Here is a 22,237-nt window from a genome sequence, read left to right on the forward strand (position 1 = left end):
GAACCCCCACCCCAAATCCCCAGTTATTTTCGTAAGTTCTCTGTATTCTGTCTTGACACTGTCTCTCATCCTAATTTCACTGGTGTGGGTTTTTGTGTGTGTGTTAACCCTAGCCTAGTCCACTGTTATCCCTATTTCTAACATCTCCACACCCTAATGCACCTTACACATCACGCCTCTCCTCATTCATAAGCCTCAGCCATTCCTCAAGAACCAAATTAAGTTCAAACCTCTCTACAAACTTCTGAGCTCCACATTCATGATAATCCATCTTTCTAGCTCTTTCTACCACTCCCTCTTATAGCAAATATATGGCCTTTTATGCCAGAGAACCTGGACTCTTGTCTCTGCCTCTTACAAGTCATGTAACCTTGGGTAACTTGCTTAATTTCTGTACCTTACCTTCCTCATCTGTAAAATCTGTAACTTTTATATACAGATTTGCTATAATGATTAATTAGGTTAATAGATATGAAGGGCTTAATAAGATGCCTGATGTATATAGCAAGCATCCAGTAAATAATAACTCATTATTAATTATGTACTCCAGAAAAATTCAGTAACAATCTGTTCCCACACAAATGACACTTCGTTGCCATGGTACTTTTACATGGCTGTTTCCTTGTTCCTAGTTCAAATAATGCTATTTATTCTTCAGGACCCATTTCAAACAACATTTCCTCCAAGATAGAGTTCACATATGAACTAAAAGTCAGTCTTACATCGGAGCAATTTGTTTGCATTTGTGGGAATTCTTTTTTTTCTTCTTCTTCTTTAAAAAAAGAACAGGTTCATTGAAATATATTCCACATGCCATAAAAGTCACTCATTTTATGTGTACAAACCAATGATTTTTAGTAAATTTATAGAGTTGTACAGCCATCATATACGTATGTACATAAATAAATAGTTATTTTCTTACGCCCTATTTAACTTACTCTCCCAGTTCTAAAATCTACTTACCTGATTTTATTTTTTTATACTTTAAGTTTTAGGGTACATGTGCACAATGTGCAGGTTAGTTACATATGTATACATGTGCCATGCTGGTGTGCTGCACCCATTAACTCATCATTTAGCATTAGGTATATCTCCTAAAGCTATCCCTTCCCCCTTCCCCCACCCCACAACAGTCCCCAGAGTGTGATGTTCCCCTCCTGTGTCCATGTGTTCTCATTGTTCAATTCCCACCTATGAGTGAGAATATGCGGTGTTTGGTTTTTTGTTTTTGCGATAGTTTACTGAGAATGATGATTTCCAGTTTCATCCATGTCCCTACAAAGGACACGAACTCATCATTTTTTATGGCTGCATAGTATTCCGTGGTGTATATGTGCCACATTTTCTTAATCCAGTCTATCATTGTTGGACATTTGGGTTGGTTCCAAGTCTTTGCTATTGTGAATAGTGCTGCAATAAACATACGTGTGCATGTGTCTTTATAGCAGCATGATTTATAGTCCTTTGGGTATATACCCAGTAATAAGATGGCTGGGTCAAATGGTATTTCTAGTTCTAGATCCCTGAGGAATCGCCACACTGACTTCCACAAGGGTTGAACTAGTTTACAGTCCCACCAACAGTGTAAAAGTGTTCCTATTTCTCCACATCCTCTCCAGCACCTGTTGTTTCCTGACTTTTTAATGATTGCCATTCTAACTGGTGTGAGATGGTATCTCATTGTGGTTTTGATTTGCATTTCTCTGATGGCCAGTGATGGTGAGCATTTTTTCATGTGTTTTTTGGCTGCATAAATGTCTTATTTTGAGAAGTGTCTGTTCATGTCCTTCACCCACTTTTTGATGGGGTTTTTTTTTCTTATAAATTTGTTTGAGTTCATCGTAGATTCTGGATATTAGCCCTTTGTCAGATGAGTAGGTTGCGAAAATTTTCTCCCATTTTGTAGGTTGCCTGTTCATTCTGTTGGTAGTTTCTTTTGCTGTGCAGAAGCTCTTCAGTTTAATTAGATCCCATTTGTCAATTTTGGCTTTTGTTGCCATTGCTTTATTGCTTTTGGTGTTTTAGACGTGAAGTCCTTGCCCATGCCTATGTCCTGAATGGTAATGCCTAGGTATTCTTCTAGGGTTTTTATGGTTTTACGTCTAACGTTTAAGTCTTTAATCCATCTGGAATTGATTTTTGTATAAGGTGTAAGGAAGGGATCCAGTTTCAGCTTTCTACATATGGCTAGCCAGTTTTCCTGGCACGATTTATTAAATAGGGAATCCTTTCCCCATTGCTTGTTTTTCTCAGGTTTGTCAAAGATCAGAGAGTTGTAGATATGCGACATTATTTCTGAGGGCTCTGTTCTGTTCCATTGATCTATATCTCTGTTTAGTACCAGTACCATGCTGTTTTGGTTACTGTAGCCTTGTAGTATAGTTTGAAGTCAGGTAGCATGATGCCTCCAGCTTTGTTCTTTTGGCTTAGAATTGACTTGGTGATGTGGGCTCCTTTTTGGTTCCATATGAACTTTAAAGTAGTTTTTTCCAATTCTGTGAAGAAAGTCATTGGTAGCTTGATGGGGATGGCATTGAGTCTATAAATTCCCTTGGGCAGTATGGCCATTTTCACGATATTGATTCTTCCTACCCTTGAGCATGGAATGTTCTTCCATTTGTTTGTATCCTCTTTTATTTCATTCAGCAGTGGTTTGTAGTTCTCCTTGAAGAGGTCCTTCACATCCCTTGTAAGTTGGATTCCTAGGTATTTTATTGTCTTTGAAGCAACTGTGAATGGGAGTTCACTCATGATTTGGCTCTCTGTTTGTCTGTTCTTGGTGTATAAGAATGCTTGTGATTTTTGTACATTGATTTTGTATCCTGAGACTTGCTGAAGTTGCTTATCAGCTTAAGGAGATTTTGGGCTGAGACAATGGGGTTTTCTAGATATACAGTCATGTCATCTGCAAACAGGGACAATTTGACTTCCTCTTTTCCTAATTGAATACCCTTTATTTCCTTCTCCTGCCTAATTGCCCTGGCCAGAACTTCCAACACTATGTTGAATAGGAGTGGTGAGAGAGGGCATCCGTCTTGTGCCACTTTTCAAAGGGGATGCTTCCAGTTTTTGCCCATTCAGTATGATATTGGCTGTGGGTTTGTCATAGATAGCTCTTATTATTTTGAGATACGTCCCATCAATACCTAATTTATTGACAGTTTTTAGCATGAAGGGTTGTTGAATTTTGTCGAAGGCCTTTTCTGCATCTATTGAGATAATCATGTGGTTTTTGTCTTTGGTTCTGTTTATATGCTGGACTACATTTTTTGATTTGTGTATATTGAATCAGCCTTGCATCCCAGGGATGAAGCCCACTTGATCATGGTGGATAAGCTTTTTGATGTGCTGCTGGATTCGGTTTGCCAGTATTTTATTGAGGATTTTTGCATCAATGCTCATCAAGGATATTGGTCTAAAATTCTCTTTTTTGGTTGAGTCTCTGCCTGGCTTTGGTATCAGGATGATGCTGGCCTCATAAAATGAGTTACGGAGGGTTCCCTCTTTTTCTATTGATTGGAGTAGTTTCAGAAGGAATGGTACCAGTTCCTCCTTGTACCTCTGGTTGAATTCGGCTGTGAATCCATCTGGTCCTGGACTCTTTTTTGTTGGTAAGCTATTGATTATTGCCACAATTTCAGAGCCTGTTATTCGTCTATTCAGAGAGTCAATTTCTTCCTGGTTTAGTCTTGGGAGGGTGTATGTGTCGAGGAATTTATACATTTCTTCCAGATTTTCTAGTTTATTTGCATAGAGGTGTTTGTAGTATTCTCTGATGGTAGTTTGTATTTCTGTAGGATCGGTGGTGATATCCCCTTTATCATTTTTTATTGCGTCTATTTGATTCTTCTCTCTTTTCTTCTTTATTAGTCTTGCTAGCGGTCTATCAATTTTGTTGATCCTTTCAAAAAGCAGCTCCTGGATTCATTAATTCTTTGAAGGGTTTTTTGTGTCTCTATTTCCTTCAGTTCTGCTCTGATTTTAGTTATTTCTTGCCTTCTGCTAGCTTTTGAATGTGTTTGCTCTTGCTTTTCTAGTTCTTTTAATTGTGATGGTAGGGTGTCAATTTTGGATCTTCCCTGCTTTCTCTTGTGGGCATTGAGTGCTATAAATTTCCCTCTACACACTGCTTTGAATGTGTCCCAGAGATTCTGTTATGTTGTGTCTTTGTTCTCATTGGTTTCAAAGAACTTCTTAACCCAGGAATACAGTGAACTGATAAGACAGAGCCCTGTCGCAGAGGCACAATCCAGTGGAGAAGGGAATGCTAACCCTCCTGGGTCACCATACTCAGGACTCAGGAACCATGTCTTCCTCAGGTTTGCATTCTGAGAAAGTTCTCCTGCAGAAACCTATGCTTACTACATGCTTGATTATATTTAAGTAAATTTGCCATTTTTAATTTAATGAAAATTCAAAACATGTAAGTCATTTCAACATATGGTATGTTGCTAAATAAAAACCTTTATTTTAAAAATAGGTTTTAATTATTAATAATTTATATTACTTTCCTGATCCACAATGTGGTCTAGCACAGAGGTGTTAGCCATTGCATGAAAGATAGGAACTGAGCCCCTCTTCTCTCTTCAGAAACTTGGAAGCAAGAAACAAAAGTCAGACATTCATGTCTTTACTCATCTACACAAATTTCATATTTTACCTTTTTAAAATAGCTTTACTTATATATACTCTACATACTATACAGTTCACCCATTTAAAGAATTAAGTTTATCCTAAAGCTGCTTCCTTACGTATTTTAAATTTGGCCTAAAAGTTTCTCAGCATGTAGTGAACTGTAACCTAACTGGATGCTGAAAAGACTGAAACCTACTCTTGTGCCAATCACAGAGTTTCAGCATATCTAAGGTGGTCAGTTGTTCAAACTGTGTTCAAATAAGGCAAATGCCAAATTATAACCAATTCTATTTCTGTACCTCATTTTTGTCTTCTTTACATCACTTTCCTTTTTCTGCCCATAAATCTTTTTCAACCACGAGGCAGTGCTGGAGTCTCTCTGAACCTATTGCAGTTCAGTGGCTGCCCGATTTGCACATCACTCTTTGCTCAATTAAGCACTGTTAAATTTAATTTGACTAGGTTTGTCTTTTAACAAAGATGTACAGTTCAATGTTTTTTGTATGTTTTCAAACATACAAAAGTTGTGTAATGATCACCATAATCAAATGTACAATTTTTTATCATCGTCCAATTAGCAGACACTACCATTCCCTCCTACCCCTCCACTCTCAGCCTAGGCAATCAAAATTCTCTACAGTTATGTCACTCCTGAATATTTCATATAAATGAAATCATATAATATGTCTTCTTCTGTGACTGGCTTCTTTCAATTAGCACAAGGTTTTCAAGGCACTTCCATGTGTAACATGTACTTTATTCCCTTTTATTGCCAAACAATATCCTATGGTATGGAGATATCACATTTTATCTATTCATCAGTTGATAGATATTTGACTTATTTCTGCTTTGGGGCTATTATGAATAATGCTGCTATGAATTTTCACGTCTACATTTTTGTGTGGACATATGTTTTCATTTCTAATGAGTATATACCTAGGAATGGAATTGCTGAGCCATATGGTAACTCTATCTATGCTTAGCATTTTGAAGAATTGCCACTGTTTTCCAAAATGGCTGCACTATTTTATATTCCCACCAACAATATATGAGGGATCCAATTTCTCCACATTCTGGACAACACTTGTTACTATCTGACTTTTTGATTATAGCTATCCTAGTAGGCCTAAAATCATAACTAATTGTTCCTTTGAGTTGCATTTTCCTGCTGGCTAATAATGTTGAGTTTTTTTATGTGTTTGTCTACCTTCTTTAGAGAAATGTATATTAAGATCCTTTGACCATTTTTAATGGTGTTTTTATTATCTTTGTGTGTGCTTTATTATCTTTATATGTTCTATACACAAGTCCTTATCAGGTATATAATTTGCAAATATCTTTGCACATTCTTGGCTTTTTCTTTTCACTTTCTTGATACCCTTGGAAGTATAGATGCTGTTAATATTGATGAAATCAAATTAATTTACCTACTTTTTCTTGTATTTCTTATGCTTTTGGAGTTGTATCTAAGATGGCTTTGCATAACCCAAGGTAACAAAGGTTTACTCCTACGTTTTCTATTTAGTTTTATAATTTTTCTCTTAAGCTTGGGTCTATGATCCATTTTGACTTAATTTTTACATGTGGTATTATAAGGAGTCCAACTTCATTCTTCTGCATGCAGATATCCAATTATTCCAGTACCATTTGTAATAAAGATTACTCATTCTGCATTTTTTCAACCCTTTTCAAAATCTAGTGGCTCATAAATGTAAGGGTTTAGTTTGTGGACACAATTCTGTTCCATTGATCTTTCTATCTATTGCTATGCCAGTACCACATTGTCTTGTTTATTGTAATTTTGCAGTAAATTTTGAAATTGGTAAGTTTGTTCTTTTTCAGAATTGTCTTGACTATTCTGGGCCCCTCGCACTGCTACATGTTTTTAGGATAACTCCATTCATTTCTGCAATAAAAGCTTGCTGGGTTTTGATAGAGATTTTGTTTAACCTGTAGATCATTTGAAGATTAATGCCATTGTAACGATATTAAATCTTTCAATCCAAGAACATGGAATGTCATTCCATTTATTTAGGTCTACCTTATTTCAACAATTCTTTTTGTTTGTTTTCAGACTACAAGTTTTAGATCCTTTTGTTAAATTTATTTCTTAGGGTTTTTTTTGTTTTGTTTTGTTTTGTTGGTTGGTTGGTTTGTTTTGAGATGGAGTCTCACTCTGTCACCCAGGCTGGAGTGCAGTGGCACAATCTCAGCTCACAGCAACCTCTACCTCCTGGGTTCAAGCGATTCTTCTGCCTCAGCCTCCTCCTCCTGAGTAGCTGGAACTACAGGCATGCACCACCACGCCTGGCTTTTTTTTTTTTTTTTTCTTTTGCATTTTTAGTAGAGACAGGGTTTCACGATGTTGGCCAGCCTGGTCTCGAATCCCTGACCTTGTGATTCACCCACCTCGGCCTCCCAAAGTGCTGAGATTACAGGAGTGAGCCACTACACCAGGTCATTTCTTAGTATTTTTACTCTTTTGATCTATAGTAAGTAAAATTGTTTTTATCTTTGAATTTTTAAATTTTTAACACAGTTCAAATCAGTGTGTCTGATTTCATCTCCTTCTCTAACAAACCAGGGTGCCAGAACTGCTTCAGTTTCTCTGCCTTCTCTTTGTCTATGATGACTAATGTATGAAGGTATCTGCTGCATCAAACTTTAAACTTCACATTATCCTTATTTCTCTTGACCTTGACAGATCTGGCATCTTTTCACCTGGCTGTAAGCAGAAAGTCCTTGATCTCCTTAACTTTTTGAGGCATGGCAGCATGTGAGGCAGGGAGAGGACACAGACCCACACAGCAAGTGGTGAGAAGCCAACAGTGGAATTGTTTTCTTAATTCCATTTGTTGATTGTTTATTGCTAGTGTATAGAAATACAACTGATTTTTGTATATTGATCTTGTATTCTAAAAACTTGCTCAACTTGTTTCTTAGTTCTAATAGTTAATTAATTGATTCCTTAGGGCTTTTTAATACAAGATCATGTCATCTACAAATAGAAATTGTTTTACTTTCTTTCTAATCTGGATGCCATTTATCTTTTTTTCTTGTCCAATTGCCCTCACTAGAACCTTTAGTACAAAGTTAAATAGAAATGGGAAGACTAGACATTTTGTCTTGTTCCTGATCTTAGACATAAAAACGTTGTCTTCCGTTATTATGTGTGATATTAGTTAAGTTTTTCATAAATAAACTTCACAGTTTGAGGAAGTTCCTATTCCTAGTTTGTTGAGTGTTAGCATGAAAAAGTGTTGAATTTTGTCCAATAGTTTTTAAAAATTTTTTTAGACAATCATGTAGGCTTTGTCCATTTTTTACTTCTTTAAATTTATTTTTATTGATACACAATAGATGTACACTTTTTAGGTACATGCAATAATTTAATGCCCCTCACTATAAATTCGGAGCTGCCTCCTCGCCGATGATTCCAGCGCCTGACAGCCAGGACCCCAGGCAGCAGCGAGTGACAGGACTTTTTAGGTACATGCAATAATTTAATGCATTCATATAAAGATCAAATCAGTGCAATTGGCATATCCATCACCTTAAATATTTGTCTTTTCTTCATGCTAGAAACATTCAAGTTATTTTCTCCTAGCTACTCTGAAATATACAATAGATTACTGTAAACTACAGTCACCCTACTCACCTATCTAACATTAATTGATTTTTGGTAAACTAATCTAATCTTGCTTTCTGGCATCAACCTCACTTGACCATGGTGTATAGTCCCTTTCATATGTTATTGGATTCAATTTGCCTACATTTTGTTGAGAATTTTTATCTATACTCTTAAGAAATATTGATCTGTAGTCTCGTGATGTCTTTATCTGGTTTTGTTATCAGGGTGATACTGGCCTCATAGCATGAGTTGGGAGATCATCCTTACTCTTCTATTTTTTGGAAGAGTTTGTGAAGAATTGATATTATTTCTTCTTTAAATATTTATTGGGTTTTTAAAATACATTTTTAAAATGCAACTTGGGTAGCATGTCCAATAGGAACAAATGAGTGTCCACCCTTGAATTTCATAACCCTGGAATTAATCCATGTAATCTATGATCCACAACTGTATTACCAAAGTTCGAGTTACTCATAGGAAAGAGAAAGAAGTTCTCTAATTCGTCCTTAAAAGTTTTCCAAGTTCAGAAAAAAAAAATGTTGAAGAACACGAATCTCCGCAGGAAATGATACTCCTGTACCCCCAGCTCGCTCTCCCTCACGACCCCTCGCTAGGCGGGGTTCGGGACCAGGTGAACGCTGATCTGATAGTTGACACGGGACGACTGTGGCATCATCCTTGCTGCCGTCAATATCCCGAGAGGGAGGAGGTTGGGCCGGGAGGGTCTCCCGGGGCGGGGCGGAGGAGGAGGGAATGCAAAACAGAGCCTCGTCCCCGGAACCCAAGAAGCAGCAACGCCCCTCACTATAAATTCGGAGCTGCCTCCTCGCCAATGATTCCAGCGCCTGACAGCCAGGACCCCAGGCAGCAGCGAGTGACAGGACGTCTGGACCGGCGCGCCGCTAGCAGCTCTGCCGGGCCGCGGCGGTGATCGATGGGGAGCGGCTGGAGCGGACCCAGCGAGTGAGGGCGCACAGCCGGGACGCCGAGGCGGCGGGCGGGAGACCCGCACCAGCGCAGCCGGCCCTCGGCGGGACGTGACGCAGCGCCCGGGGCGCGGGTGAGTCCGCGCGGACCGCCAGGCATGCTTGGGGGACTTCAAGGGCGGGGTGCTAAGTTTCATGTCACGGTGTCCTAACTGCTGGCTCTATACTGGGAAGCTCTCGGGGACCAAGGAAAGAGCGACCGTAGTTCTGGTCAGCGCCTGCCCCTGGAGCTGGCCACACTTTCCCAAATCAGGTGAGGGGCTTCTGGAATGGGAGGGAACAAGGTAGGTTTGTTTGCCACGTGCCTCGAAATTCTCAATCCATTTTAACCAAACTCTTCCGAGTGCAAGGAAGAAATCTACAGAAATAAGATGCAATTCAATAAACTTTCTTCCTGAGGCTTTTAGTTAACTCTTGTATTTTAGCCATCATCTGAGCGGGAAGCCGGTATGACTCTGCAAGGCGTTCGTTTAAAAGTTGTGCTACTTTTGAGGTGAAGTTAAGAGTGTCTCCATCCACGCCCTCTGCTTCCCAGTCAATGTCCCTGCACTGCTCACGTCCCTTTAGCTCTCTCCCTGCAAACCATAGCGGTGGGTCCTAGACACGGGACATCGCTCCAACCTTGGCCAAACTCTCCCACCCTCAGGGTTCCCAGATGTCCTTTGAATAATCAAACTGAGGAAGGAGAAGCAAGATGTCTCCACACCCCAATCCCTACAGCCTTAGCCAATGCATGTGTGTAACTGAGACAGAATTTTAGCAAAAGGTCTCCTGCTTCCAGGACTAAACAGAGCCTCTGGCAGGCCACTGCCCGACACCCAACTCCATCCTCCAATTTTCTTAAATGTCCAGGTAAACATCTCCATAGTGCCAGCCTGCTATAGTCTCCCGAAGACCTCAGCAATTCTTCCCCAAAGCGTCTCCTTCTGCACCGTTTTTTTCTTTGGGCAACCATTTGTGACCTGGCTATTGAGCCCACCTGGGCCTCTTCTCTTTGTTTGCTGATAGCCTCGTTAAGTATTAAAAACCTACTCCCCCCCTTCAGGAGCCCTCTTTTAATGAAAGTTTGGGTACTGGGATCAGATTTGGGACTTGGCTACATTTATTTCCTGTGTCATTCTGAGAAGAGAAAGTAATAGAGGCAAGAAATTTGGCACCCTATTGATCTATTTTATTACTTTGTTGAGCAACTTGTGCTTCCCGCTGAAGATGCTGCATCCCAACATGATTCTCTTATTATTAGTTACCACCTGAGGGTTTTGGATCTCCAGGTGTTTATTTCACATAGCATATGCTTTAACCCCCTTATAAGTCTTCTCTAAGGAAGAAACTGCCATACTTCCCTTGTCTTCTCCGGTGTTTCCCTAGCTATAAAGGCCCCACCTGCATAACCTGTCCTCAGGCTGTGATGTATTCCCGGGTGCCCTGGTACCTTCTCCTTCCTCTCCACCACCCTTCCTGACAGTGCAGGGGCAGGAAAGCATGGGGAGAAGGGAAATGGAGACTCCCACTTAACTTGCTGTGTGATAGTAAGAGCATTATTTCACAACTCTGAACCTCAAGTCTCTGCCCATAAGGTTCCCTCCAGTGATATAATTCCTTAATTTCTTTTGTTTTGGTTATTGCTTTAAAATAAAAGTCTAAGCTTAAGGCTAGGTTATAGAAACTGCCCATCATAATTGCTAGGTCTCAACATTTGCTTAAGTTTTGTGATTCTTAGTTTCAAGTCTGTTACCCACTCTCTCTCCCCGCCACCTTTTTTCCCCCTGACTTCATTGTTCTTTGTTCCCATCCTGAGGCCTTGATTTCTGGTTCTGCTCTTCTTTGACCTTAAACTGAATCAACTCTTCCATCATCCAACTCAGAATAAAATTGGTTTTCTTCCACCGGTTCCACTGATGCCAATGGAAGACTTGTCTTCCTTGCGATTTGCAAAATGTCTTTCAGTCACAGGTGCTGCGGCAATGCTGCTGTCCCACAGCATTCTAAGCTTCAGTCTTTCTCTCTCTTATCGTGGGTCAGTATTCAGAAAAGGGCAGATTTGTGGGTTGTTCAGGTTTCTCACTTTTCTTTTTCTTCTTTCTAGTTTGGGATCAGAGTTGTGTGAGTATTTGTGTATATAATTTTGTTTTGGTTTTTTGTTCCTGCTGCTACTTACGACTGCTGTTATTATTTCAATTATGACTAATTAATACTAATGACTAATTTTCCCCTATGCTAGAGGGAAAATAAGGAAGAAAAGTTTACTCTGCTACTTACCCAAAGCCCAGGTAAAATGCTTAGCTGAGAAGGAATTTAAAACTCATAGTTTAAATGCATGATGCATGTCTGCTGTCATTTTATCTGTGCTGCCACAGTGTCCTTTCAAGCAGATAACTGAGAGTTGCTGTATTTTGCTTTCGAATTTGTTACAGGGACAAAAATAGTGACCCCTCACATTTAGGTGTTTTGGCTGCTTAATGCGAGCTCCTGCCCTCTAGCCGCATGCTTATTAGTTTACCTAGCCCTTTTTCTGGTCAGTCATGACTGGAGAATGCCAAAGAGTCTCCCAAGTAGGCTACCAAATTAAGAATTGTGTTTAGAAGTTTGAAGTCAGTCCAAGTGTTGTAAAGATTAAAACGTTGTTTTGAAGATATGCTGTGTCAATAAACAAATATGGAGCCAGAGCAACACAATGTGACCAAGTGTCCAAGCCCAGCTTAGGAACACTTTTCTCCCATGTTATCTAGCAAACTGACAAATCAGCTTTCCAACACGTGATGATTGGAAAATGCTATTAGTTTCCTTCAAAATTCTCCTAATGTTTCTTTTTCAAAATTGCCTAAGATCATTGGATTATGTGGTTTGTGTTTCTTTTCACTGTAGCTGCTTGTTAAAGCAGTATACTCAATCTCTGATAAGCAACAGTAAATTTGATCGATTTGTATCCTAAATTTAGCTATCACTTTACATTTTGTTTTATTCATAATATGAACTTTAGCTTCTAAAAATCAACTTTTTAATAGCTTAATATATAAAGCCATCTTAAATCAAGGAATATCTATAGGGACTTAAGGTAATATTCAACTAAATTGGCAAGTGACTACCATTATCCTATTAAAGCTCTAAAATGCAATATTTCAATCACAGAAAAAAAATCTTATAATTTAAAGAACTATAAATTGCCAGATGTTTCCCTAGTTATTACGTTAGTGACAAATTAGACAACTGGAAATAGAAAACAGAGTATATGTTTGGAACAGTCATAAAAGGACTAGTGACTATTGCTGCTAGCTGTGGTTGTATTAACATTAAAATATTTGCTATGGGATTTTTCTTCTTATCAAAGCAGATGCTCAGATGAGGAAAAACTTTCTTGCATATGAAAATCAAAATTGTCTTCCAAAATATTTAAGTAACAAAAAATTCATTATGTAGTATAAATGCTGTATGATTACATTATTCTTATAGTTAATTTAGAAGGGTTTGAATTTGTTTTTGTTTTGTTTGTGTTTGTTTCTTCGATAGGTGCATTCTCTAACTGTCTTAAGTAGAAACAAATGTCTAGAATCTCTCAGTGATTATCAGTCTCCTTCCTATTACCAAGAATGTTTTTATTGTGTTGTTAATCTCACATGTAATTTTTTTAACATTTAAAAGTTTGGAAAATGGGTAAAAAATGAGTGTGCCTTGTTTCCTATTATTACAATGTGCCTTCCTATTTCAAGTCCCAATTCTAGATTTCCTTAAAACTTAAAATCATAGAATTAATAATCTTTCAGTTTAAGTCAACTTTTGTGTGATTTCTTGTCCACTTATACACACATAGATGCCTTCATCTTCACCAAATAATGTAGAAATTTTATTTAGTTCAATGGATTTAAGTACTCTGTATGCTTAAGTACAAAATAAGAATATTGAGAAATACACATATGATTGTGTACCTTTTTTTTTTTTTTTTTTGAGACAGAGTCTTGCTCTGTTGCCCAGGCTGGCGTGCAGTGGCATGATCTCGGCTCACTGCAACCTCTGCCTCCCAGGTTCAAATGATTTTCCTGCCTCAGCCTCCTTAGTAGCTGGGATTACAGGTGCATGCCGCCACGCCCAGCTAATTTTTGTATTTTTAGTAGAGAAGAGGTTCGCCATGTTGGCCAGGCTGGTCTCAAACTTCTGACCTCAAGTGATCTCCCTGCCTCGGCCTCCCAAAGTGCTGGGATTACAGACATGAGCCACCTCACCTGGCCTGATTTTGTACTTTTAAAGAGAATTTGTTGTTGCTAATTTGCTAAGTTTATTTAGATATTTTCTGATTCTATATTAGTCAAAGCTCCTCTTATCTACTTTGGAAAATGAAGAATTATGTCTATAAAATATATCAACAACAGCTGCAGGTACTTACAGAGGAAATACTGTGGATCTGAGTGATATTAGGCCCTGAGGATACAAGCCAAAGTATAAAAATGGTCTTTGCCGTAGAGAGATAGTAGTCAAGCTAAGCACATATTTTGGCATGGGTCTCTAATAGCCTAATGCTAGTAGGGTGGGAAGCCATTTAAAAATGGCCCCTCCTTCTGTCCTGCCTTTCAGACCAGATGGTGTGTCTAAAGTGGTCACACTGTTTGGTTCTGGCCACTTCTGTAATAACCACTGCTCCTTTCCCCTCCTCGTGAGATTATAACTCCTTTGACAGTATGGATGGCACCTAACGCATCCTTGTTTTCTTTTACTAAATGTTCCACGGAGTCACTTGCTTGCCTGTTTGTTGCTTATTTGTTTGTTTTTGGCTAAAACTACAGAAAATGTTAAATACATTTTCAGACCTTTATATTTTAAAAAAGAAATGTTAAGAAATAAATAATTTTTCTAATCTCATTTAGATACACTGTCCTATTACACACAATGACAAATTTGATGCTTTTGTCTTGCTAATTGAAGAGCTAAGCATGAATACAGTTTTTCAGTCTACAGCAGCAATGACAAGGGTAAAGTGGAGAAAAGAGTAAGGAAAGAAAAAATTAAAAAGAATAAAAGGTTGAAATATCAAATCGGTGGTTCTTAAGATGACAGAGGCAGGTGAGACAAGAATACTGGAATCACCCAGGGGGCATATGAAATCTGTACATTTCATCCACACCTTCTTTTCTCCCCCTGTCCTCATTCCCCCTGTTGAGACACATTGTATTACAAATTAGGAGGAAACCATCTAAAATTATCTCACGTATCCCAGTTCCCATATTAGCATCATGAGTATCACCTGAGAGTTTGTTGGAACTGCAGAATCTCAGACCCTGTCCAGACCCATTGATTGCATAAGAATCTGCATTTTAGCAAAATCCTCAGGTGATTCAAATGCACATTAAGGGAAAAGAAACACAGTGTACCGTACCTGTGGCTTGTTTAGAATAATTATGAAGAGGTGTTTTCTTGGCTCTTAACTAACGTTTTTAATAAAGCTAATATTTATTGAGTACATAAATGTGCCAAACACAACGTTCAGTCTTTCTTTAAATTTTTTTTATTTAATCCTCACAACAACCCTGTGAGATAGTTTCTGTTTTATCCTTATTTTATAGATTGGGATACCAAGTAATAATGAGATAAGTAGTTTACCCAAAAGCTGTAACTGATACAGTCGAGATGTAAACATAAGAATTCTAATTTCATTGCCTGTTCTCTTAGCTGTTACCTACAGTGTCTGCTCTATACTGGGCTACCTACTTTTTAAGGCCAACTAATTATTTGAAAATTTATTTAAAGTTTTAATTTGAGATCAAAATCTGTTTCCCTCATAAATTTTTTTTAAAAAAAGCAAACAAGATCTATTCCATTTTGATCTAATGTTTTCCTGTCACCTTACCTTTAAGTGCAATAATGGGAAATTCTAGAAATTCCTTCTTTAACTGTTTGAAAAAATACCAAAACTATGACAGCCTGTCCAAATCCACTAAAATATATTTTTATATGCATGCTTTTTGTATATCAATTATACTTCAATAAAGCTTTTTAAAAAAATAGTAGATGACATACTTTTAAAAATTAACTTTGGAGCCCAGGTATGGTGGCTCAGACCTGTAATCCCAGCACTTTGGGAGGATCACTTGAGGCCAGGAGTTTGAGACCAGCTGAGGCAACAAACTGAGACCCCCATCTCTACAAAAAATAAAAAATTGCCAGAGCATGGTGGCGCACACCATGTAGTAGTTGGGACCTGTAGTCCCAACTACTCAGGAGACTGAGTTGGGAGGATTGCTTGAGTCTGGGAGGTGAAGGCTGCAGTGAGCCATGATCACACCACTGCACTCCAGCCTGAGCAACAGAGAAAGACCCTGTCTCGAATAATAATAATAATAATAACAACTTTTGATATCTCTATTTTTTCCCATAAAAATCCAAAATTTTCTGTTTACTTTTTGGTGCTCTCATGCTATAAAGTAAATTCTCCCTTGGATTGGACAAGTTATTTTCTGTTTTCTACATACACATAGACTGTTCAGCATTCCAACTCAAATTACATATTACTTTTTCAGCTTTTAATATAAATGCTTATTTACTACAAGCATGGTTTACAAAAATGTAGTAAAATATAGTTACTAACCAGTCAATGCTCAAGCCAGTGACTCCCCAAATGATTCAGTCCCTGAGCTGTTTCACCCAGTGCAGGTAGATTCTCTGACAGCCATCAGTTGGATCTGTCCGAATATCTCCTGTTTTGACAGGGGCTTATTGATGTTGGTCAAAAGACAGGTGTGTATGGGTTCCCTGGGATCATGTTTGAGGGGAAACCTGTGCCAACAGGACTGAGCAGCCACTTTTTCAATGGTATTGAGAAAATTTGTAGGAGATAAAATTTCACCAGCTCCTTGAATCTAGAACTGTAGATATTCAGGTAGCACTGACATTACAACATCTAATTTGTAAGTTATGGGTTAGGGCAAAATCAATCCAGGGCTGCCATCATGACAAGTAGTGGAAGTTTGAAAGAAGGAGAAATACCCAAAAGATATCTTACACATAGCAGGCAGAGTTTCTTAGTACTAATAAAAAATAAAGTACCAGTGATCACCCTCTATAGCCCCTAAGAGTCCCCTGGTTTCACTAAGCCCCAATATTTGTGGCTGTGGCTGAATGCAATCTGCACAAGGTTTTCTTTTTAACAGTTGGAAAAAATCTCATAGCATAGCATTTTTTTCTTTTTAACAGTTGGAAAAATTCTCGTAGCATAGCATTTTTTTCTAGTAAATTTCATATACTTAACAACTTTATCAGCACATATATTTTCCTTCACACTTACAATTTCATCAACACATATACTTTACTTTTTGACTCAAATTCTTCTTGCCATCAATTCAAATGCTCCTGCCCTTAGAATGAGAATTTTCCATTAACCCAGCTTTAATAATCTAACTCTCCCATTCAAATGATGTCACTTCATATAAAACACATTTTATCATGATGTCTCCCAGCCCTCAGTTACACAGTTAATTGCTGCCACTTTATCATGAATGAAAAAGATGTGATTCTTGGGTAATGATTTCTTGAGTATGTCCTGGTCTATTATCTACTGAGTTACCAGAGTGGATTTTTGAGAGAACACACAGTTATTCCTATTCCTTTTAATTTCCATTAACTTAAGCCATATGATAGAACATTACAGTTGTTATATATTTTGTATAAATATAAAATGTAATATATAATTTATATATTTTAAAATATTTAGTGGCAAGTAAAGATAGTAGTAAGTGAAAAAATCACTGTATAACATATGAATCGTAAGTGTGATCCCATGTATGTGTATACCTGGTAGATGCTTGTCAAGGTGCCATTAAGGTCTTGGGTTATTGGCATCTTAATGAAATTCATTTAATTATGTTAGGATTGATTTGTTAGTAAAATCACTTACATGTTTTTTAAATGCATGCATATCTGTGGAGCCAATAAGAAAAATTAGGAACAATATACAACAAATCTTAAGAGCTTTTGAGGATGATTTTTTTTCTTTCTTTCTTTTGTATGTACCTACAAAATTTTCTATAATGGATCTCTATTGATTTTATATTTTTTACTTTCTATTTGTCTTGGAATTTCTATTACTTTATTTATAATTCACTCTAGATTTTAGGTACTAGACAACTACTATTAACTCTCTGGAGAATGGTACTATAAATCTGACCCTTTCTGTCATTTTTTTTTCCTGTGGTACACTAGTGTCTCACAAAGAGTCCACAGAATTCACACGGTCATGATATTTTATAGAAGAAATCATTTTATGGGAACTTTCTTTTGTTAATAGATCCTTCCAATGCTAACATTATTCTGTATAACAGTGCTAAAGTTGGTATGCCTAAATGCTAAACTTGGTATGCTAAAGTTGGTTTAAAAATTAACCTATATACAATCTTCTTGAATAACTCTTCAACTTTAAATAAATTTCTTATTTAAAAAATCCTCCTATATATAATTAAAAATACTGATGAATTTGACTACATAAAAATAAATGCTTATACAGTAAAAAGTACCATAAACAAAGTTATCATCTAAACAAGAAACCTGGGAAAGCTATTTGCCAGCCATTACATGTAAAATTTAAGTTTCCTTAACATAACATGAGCTCTTTAATGTGAGAAACAATAAACAACCTAATTGAAACATGAGCAAAAGCCATGGCTGAGAAAACTCGTAGAAGAATTACTATGGAAACAATAAGAAAATGAAAAGAAGTTCAACCTCATTCATAATTAACGAAATGCAAGTCAAAACAAAGATATACCTTTTACTTATCAGATAAAGAAAAAATGATTTGATAAAACCCAGATTCTTGGTATTATAAATTGGTATAACCTTAACGGAGGACATTTTATGAATATCTATCAAAAACTTAGCATATACAAACAATTTGGTTCAACAGTCTGTTAGAATTTATTATATAGATACATTCATATAAGTACAAAAGTGCATATATGTAAATATTATTATTGGGACATTTTTGTAGCAGCCAAAAGGAAAACTGAAAAAAAAGATTAAGGCTCATTAATAGCAGACTGGTTAAATAAACTATGTGTGAGTACAATGAATGAAATATTGTACAGCCATCAAAATGAATGAGGTAGATTTATATATGCTGATGTAGGAAATCTGCTAGCCATCATAAGTAAAATAAATGAAACAAAGAAGAAAATACTATGATGTACAAAAAGAAAAAACTATAGATATACATATTTATATGCATGTGTATGCATTTTTTATGAATATACATATTTATATGCATGTGTATACAAGTCCTAGAAGGAGACATAGGTAACTATTAGTAGTACCTCTGGGAAGTAAATGCAGAGAAAAGTAATAGAGGGTAAGGATATGTTTACTTTTATTTTACATCCTTCTGTAACTTGACATTTATACGACGCGTTAGCATTACTTCTGGGAAAAAGAAAAACAGAAAAGGTAATCTTTTAAAAAGGTATTTTTTAAATTATGGTACAATAAAATGTGCATAAGCTTTATACTAAGTAATAGAATCATTTAAGTTTAGCTGTAGATTCACAAGTAAAAATCCAATCTATTTTCATATTCTTACATTTATAGACATTTCTTACATGTCTATAGAAAGAAATGGCTAGGAATGAGACTGCACTATTTTACCCTAAAACGTTCTTTTTCTCTTTGCCTAATGTATATCTACAAGGGCATTGGGGAAGATGTTGACCACAGGCAGGAAGATGATGAGATCCTGTGCCCACCACTTAATGCAGTCTAGCTCTATATAAGGAAAAATATGTTCTTGATGTGAACCAGATGGTTTCACTCCCTTCAAAAACACTCTTAAGATGCAGTGTGGAAGCTTACTCTGTAAATTAAAAAATAAAAACCTGACTATATTCAGTGGAATGCGTTAATCATTTTTTTCTTTTTAGGTTTGATATTTGACAAATTGATCTAAAATGGCTGGGTTTTTATCTGAATAACTCACTGATGCCATCCCAGAAAGTCGGCACCAGGTAAATGCCTTACATCTACAGCAGTGGGTCTGTCAGCAGTTTTCTTTAATGTGTCAGCAGTGGGGAGAGCGCAAAAACCCACACACACCATTATCTTGTGAAAGAAGTAGAGGAAGCAGAAAATAATGAAATCCCAGTGTTACCACATCCCCTCCAATATACAGATTAAGAGCGTTTGTATTTATATGGTTTTAAACATAAATAACATCAGAATTACTAAGCTATTTCCATTCATGTACTGATAATGAATCATGTGAGAAAGTCCTTTGGCAAGGACTCCACATGGCCACAGGTGATTCCTTTGAGCAGTGTTCTTCCTGTATAGGGCTTAAGAGGACCAGAAGGGAAATGATTGTACTCTCTTGTCAGCTACTTCCTGGGCGATTTGGGTTCTTTGATACCCCAGTGCTCACTTTCGGAAGTGTTAAGACCATAAACCTTAACAGTTGACCTTCTCACCTTCAGAAAACCCAAATGTCTCGGAGTTTCATTCTCACAAACTTCCACCTTCCTCCAATGATGAGATATAGGAAAAAAGACAATGTGAAATTGGAGATGGAGGTGCCCTCTTAGCCTCTTTACAGGCATGAGTCACATGGCAGGGCATTAAACTCTCTCACAACCTGTTGTGGAGCTCAGCAGGGTTAGCCAGGACTGTTTTGTCTATCTAACTCTTCTTACATGGGCCTATGTGATATTTTTCATAACAAGAGTCCGGGATTTACCTAACTAATAAGATTTCCCCACGCCCCTCCTTACAAAAACTCAGTTCAAAGAACAAGCCCTCAGCTTCTCCTAGTCCCCTCCAGGGAAAATGAAGAGTAGCTTGTCCTATTCTGAATATGTTGTGCTCCCATTTTATCAAAGTAGAGGATAGATACGTAGGTGCTGGGTGGGTAGATAAATATTAGAGGGATGCTTCTTCTTTGCTGTAACAGATTGGCAAGTAGGAATCATTTTCTGGAAGGTACTCCACAGTGGTGGTGTTAGAAAACTATTTAGAATGCCTTTAATCTTGGAGATAAAAATAGTAACACTTTACAGAGTTCTGTCAATGGATATCTTTAGGGATGTTTTGTTTTGGGAGGTTTTTTTTCTGATTTTGTTTTTTTCAGGTATAGCGAAGCTTGGGAATCTGGACTGTGCAGATTTTCTGCAAAAATCCAGCTCTGGAAAGAGTGTATTAAGATGCATATCCTAGGATGACACAAAGACAGTATGCTTTATTTTACATCTTAAAAGTATTGAACAGAAGGAGTTTTGTCCATGATATCCCATCAGCCCACTAGCAGGAAAAGCAGGACACTTACCCAGGGGGTTCCTGCTGGAAATGATTCTTGGAATCAGCCTTCCTTCTACTCTATTTGGGAAGTCTTTGGTTTCTAACATTCACACATTTGTAGCAAAGCTTCCAAAATAACTATGATGTTTTGCTTAGGAATAACAAAACATGGAAGAAAACATTCTGTGAAATTTTAAACTTTTTCAAACCTTTAAGTTTCAGATGAATAAGCAAAACATACTTAAGTCTAAGAAGCTATTTTTTGTTTGTCAAAGAACTGATGTTATACCAGTTCTAATATTAATTAGCAACTTTGCCCTGGTTTTCCTGTAAAATAATCTCCAAGGCCCTATCTCAATCTGTGGGCAGTATACTGAAATACAAAAAGTGTTCACAAAAGGACCTTCTGAACTTTGCAATCTCCCTTTAAAACTTTTACCAACTTAAAACTACAGAACTCTGATCTCTTATTGATTTAAACTAGTGATATGTAAACAGCACTTCAGAGCTTGTTTCACAGGACCAAAAAATTTATGCTGAAATCTACTCATGACAAATGGGAAAACCCTGATTAGCACATTTAAATGAATAAATAAAGAACCGTATTCAATGGCTTAAAATTTATAGACCTGCATCATCCATTATGGTAGCCATTTACTATATGTGGCTATTTACATTTAAATATAAACGTATTAAAATTAAACTAAAAATTCAGCCCCTCTGTTGCATTACCCCCATCTCAAGTGCTCAGTAGACACATGTGGTTAGTGGACAACACAGATTTAGAACATTTCTATCATAGGAAGTACTACTGGACAGTACTGCTGTAAACACACTTATTAATAATGCAGCAGACTTTCTTGGCCACTTGGTAAGAAAGTTTTCTGCTCTTTTAAACTTATTTGGGAAGTTTTTAATACTTTTGAAATTATGATTTCCTCAGTGTTAGATTATCTGATATACAGCTCTCACAGACCATTTTTTGTTTTTCCTGTTTGTTTGCATATTAAAATATATAGGATTCAATGTTTCACGTGCTTTTCTAAAGTTGCAGTTCTTGATTTCTTAAAATTGTGAAAAGAAGTACCCACAGTTATATTAAGAACTAAAATATATGGCTGTTGGCTTGGTTACCAACATTGCTGACAGCTCCAAGTAAGCAAAAGTAAAAAAGATGTAGGATCATTTTTAAAGGCCAATATTTTCTTCCTTACTCATTACCTTCTGTAAAATTCTGTAAGATTTTCTTTAGTTTTCCAGTAATGATAAACATTTCACCATTGCATAGACATAATTAATTGATTTTTTAAGCAGTTGGAGAGCCAAACAAAATAAGGGGTAGAATACTTCTTATTTTATTTTTTAATAAAAATGTACATATTAGAAGCCTTTATTTTTATTTAAATTGTATGTCACTGATAAGGTTTGGATATTTGCCCCTCCAAATCTCATGTTGAAATGTGATCCCCTGTGTTGGAGGTGGGGCCTGGTGGGAGGTGTTTGGATCCTGCAGGCGGATCTCTCATGAATGGCTTGGTGCCCTCCCCATGTTAATGAAAGAGTTCTTGCTCTGAAACTGTGACACCTCCCCCCTCTCTCTCTTGCTCCTGCTCTCGCCATGTGACATGCTGGTTCCCTATCACCTTCTGCCATGATTGTAAGCATCCTGTGGCCTCACCAGAAGCAGAAGCTAACACCATGCTTCCTTGTAAGCCTGCAGAACCAGGAG

At 37.2% G+C, this 22,237-nt stretch overlaps 1 protein-coding gene and 1 pseudogene across 7 annotated transcripts in view; one reads left to right on the top strand and one right to left on the bottom strand.

Annotated features, from left to right (window-relative positions):
- Window positions 7,154-7,447, bottom strand: RPL38P1 (RPL38 pseudogene 1; annotated as a pseudogene).
- AGTR1 (angiotensin II receptor type 1) overlaps window positions 9,102-22,237 on the top strand; it is a 45,101-nt gene continuing 31,965 nt past the window's right edge. For 3 of the 7 annotated variants that reach the window (NM_032049.4, NM_004835.5, NM_009585.4), the window contains exon 1: window positions 9,102-9,326. The gene's annotated coding sequence lies outside the window, so the exon portion shown is untranslated. Of the gene's footprint in view, window positions 9,349-19,142; window positions 19,227-22,237 lie in introns of all 7 variants that reach the window. The other 4 variants (NM_031850.4, NM_000685.5, NM_001382737.1 and 1 more) reach the window with 3 other exon arrangements.

This window comes from Homo sapiens, chromosome 3 (genome assembly GCF_000001405.40).
Source record: "Homo sapiens chromosome 3, GRCh38.p14 Primary Assembly".
In the NCBI taxonomy this organism is placed as follows: Eukaryota; Metazoa; Chordata; class Mammalia; order Primates; family Hominidae; genus Homo; species Homo sapiens.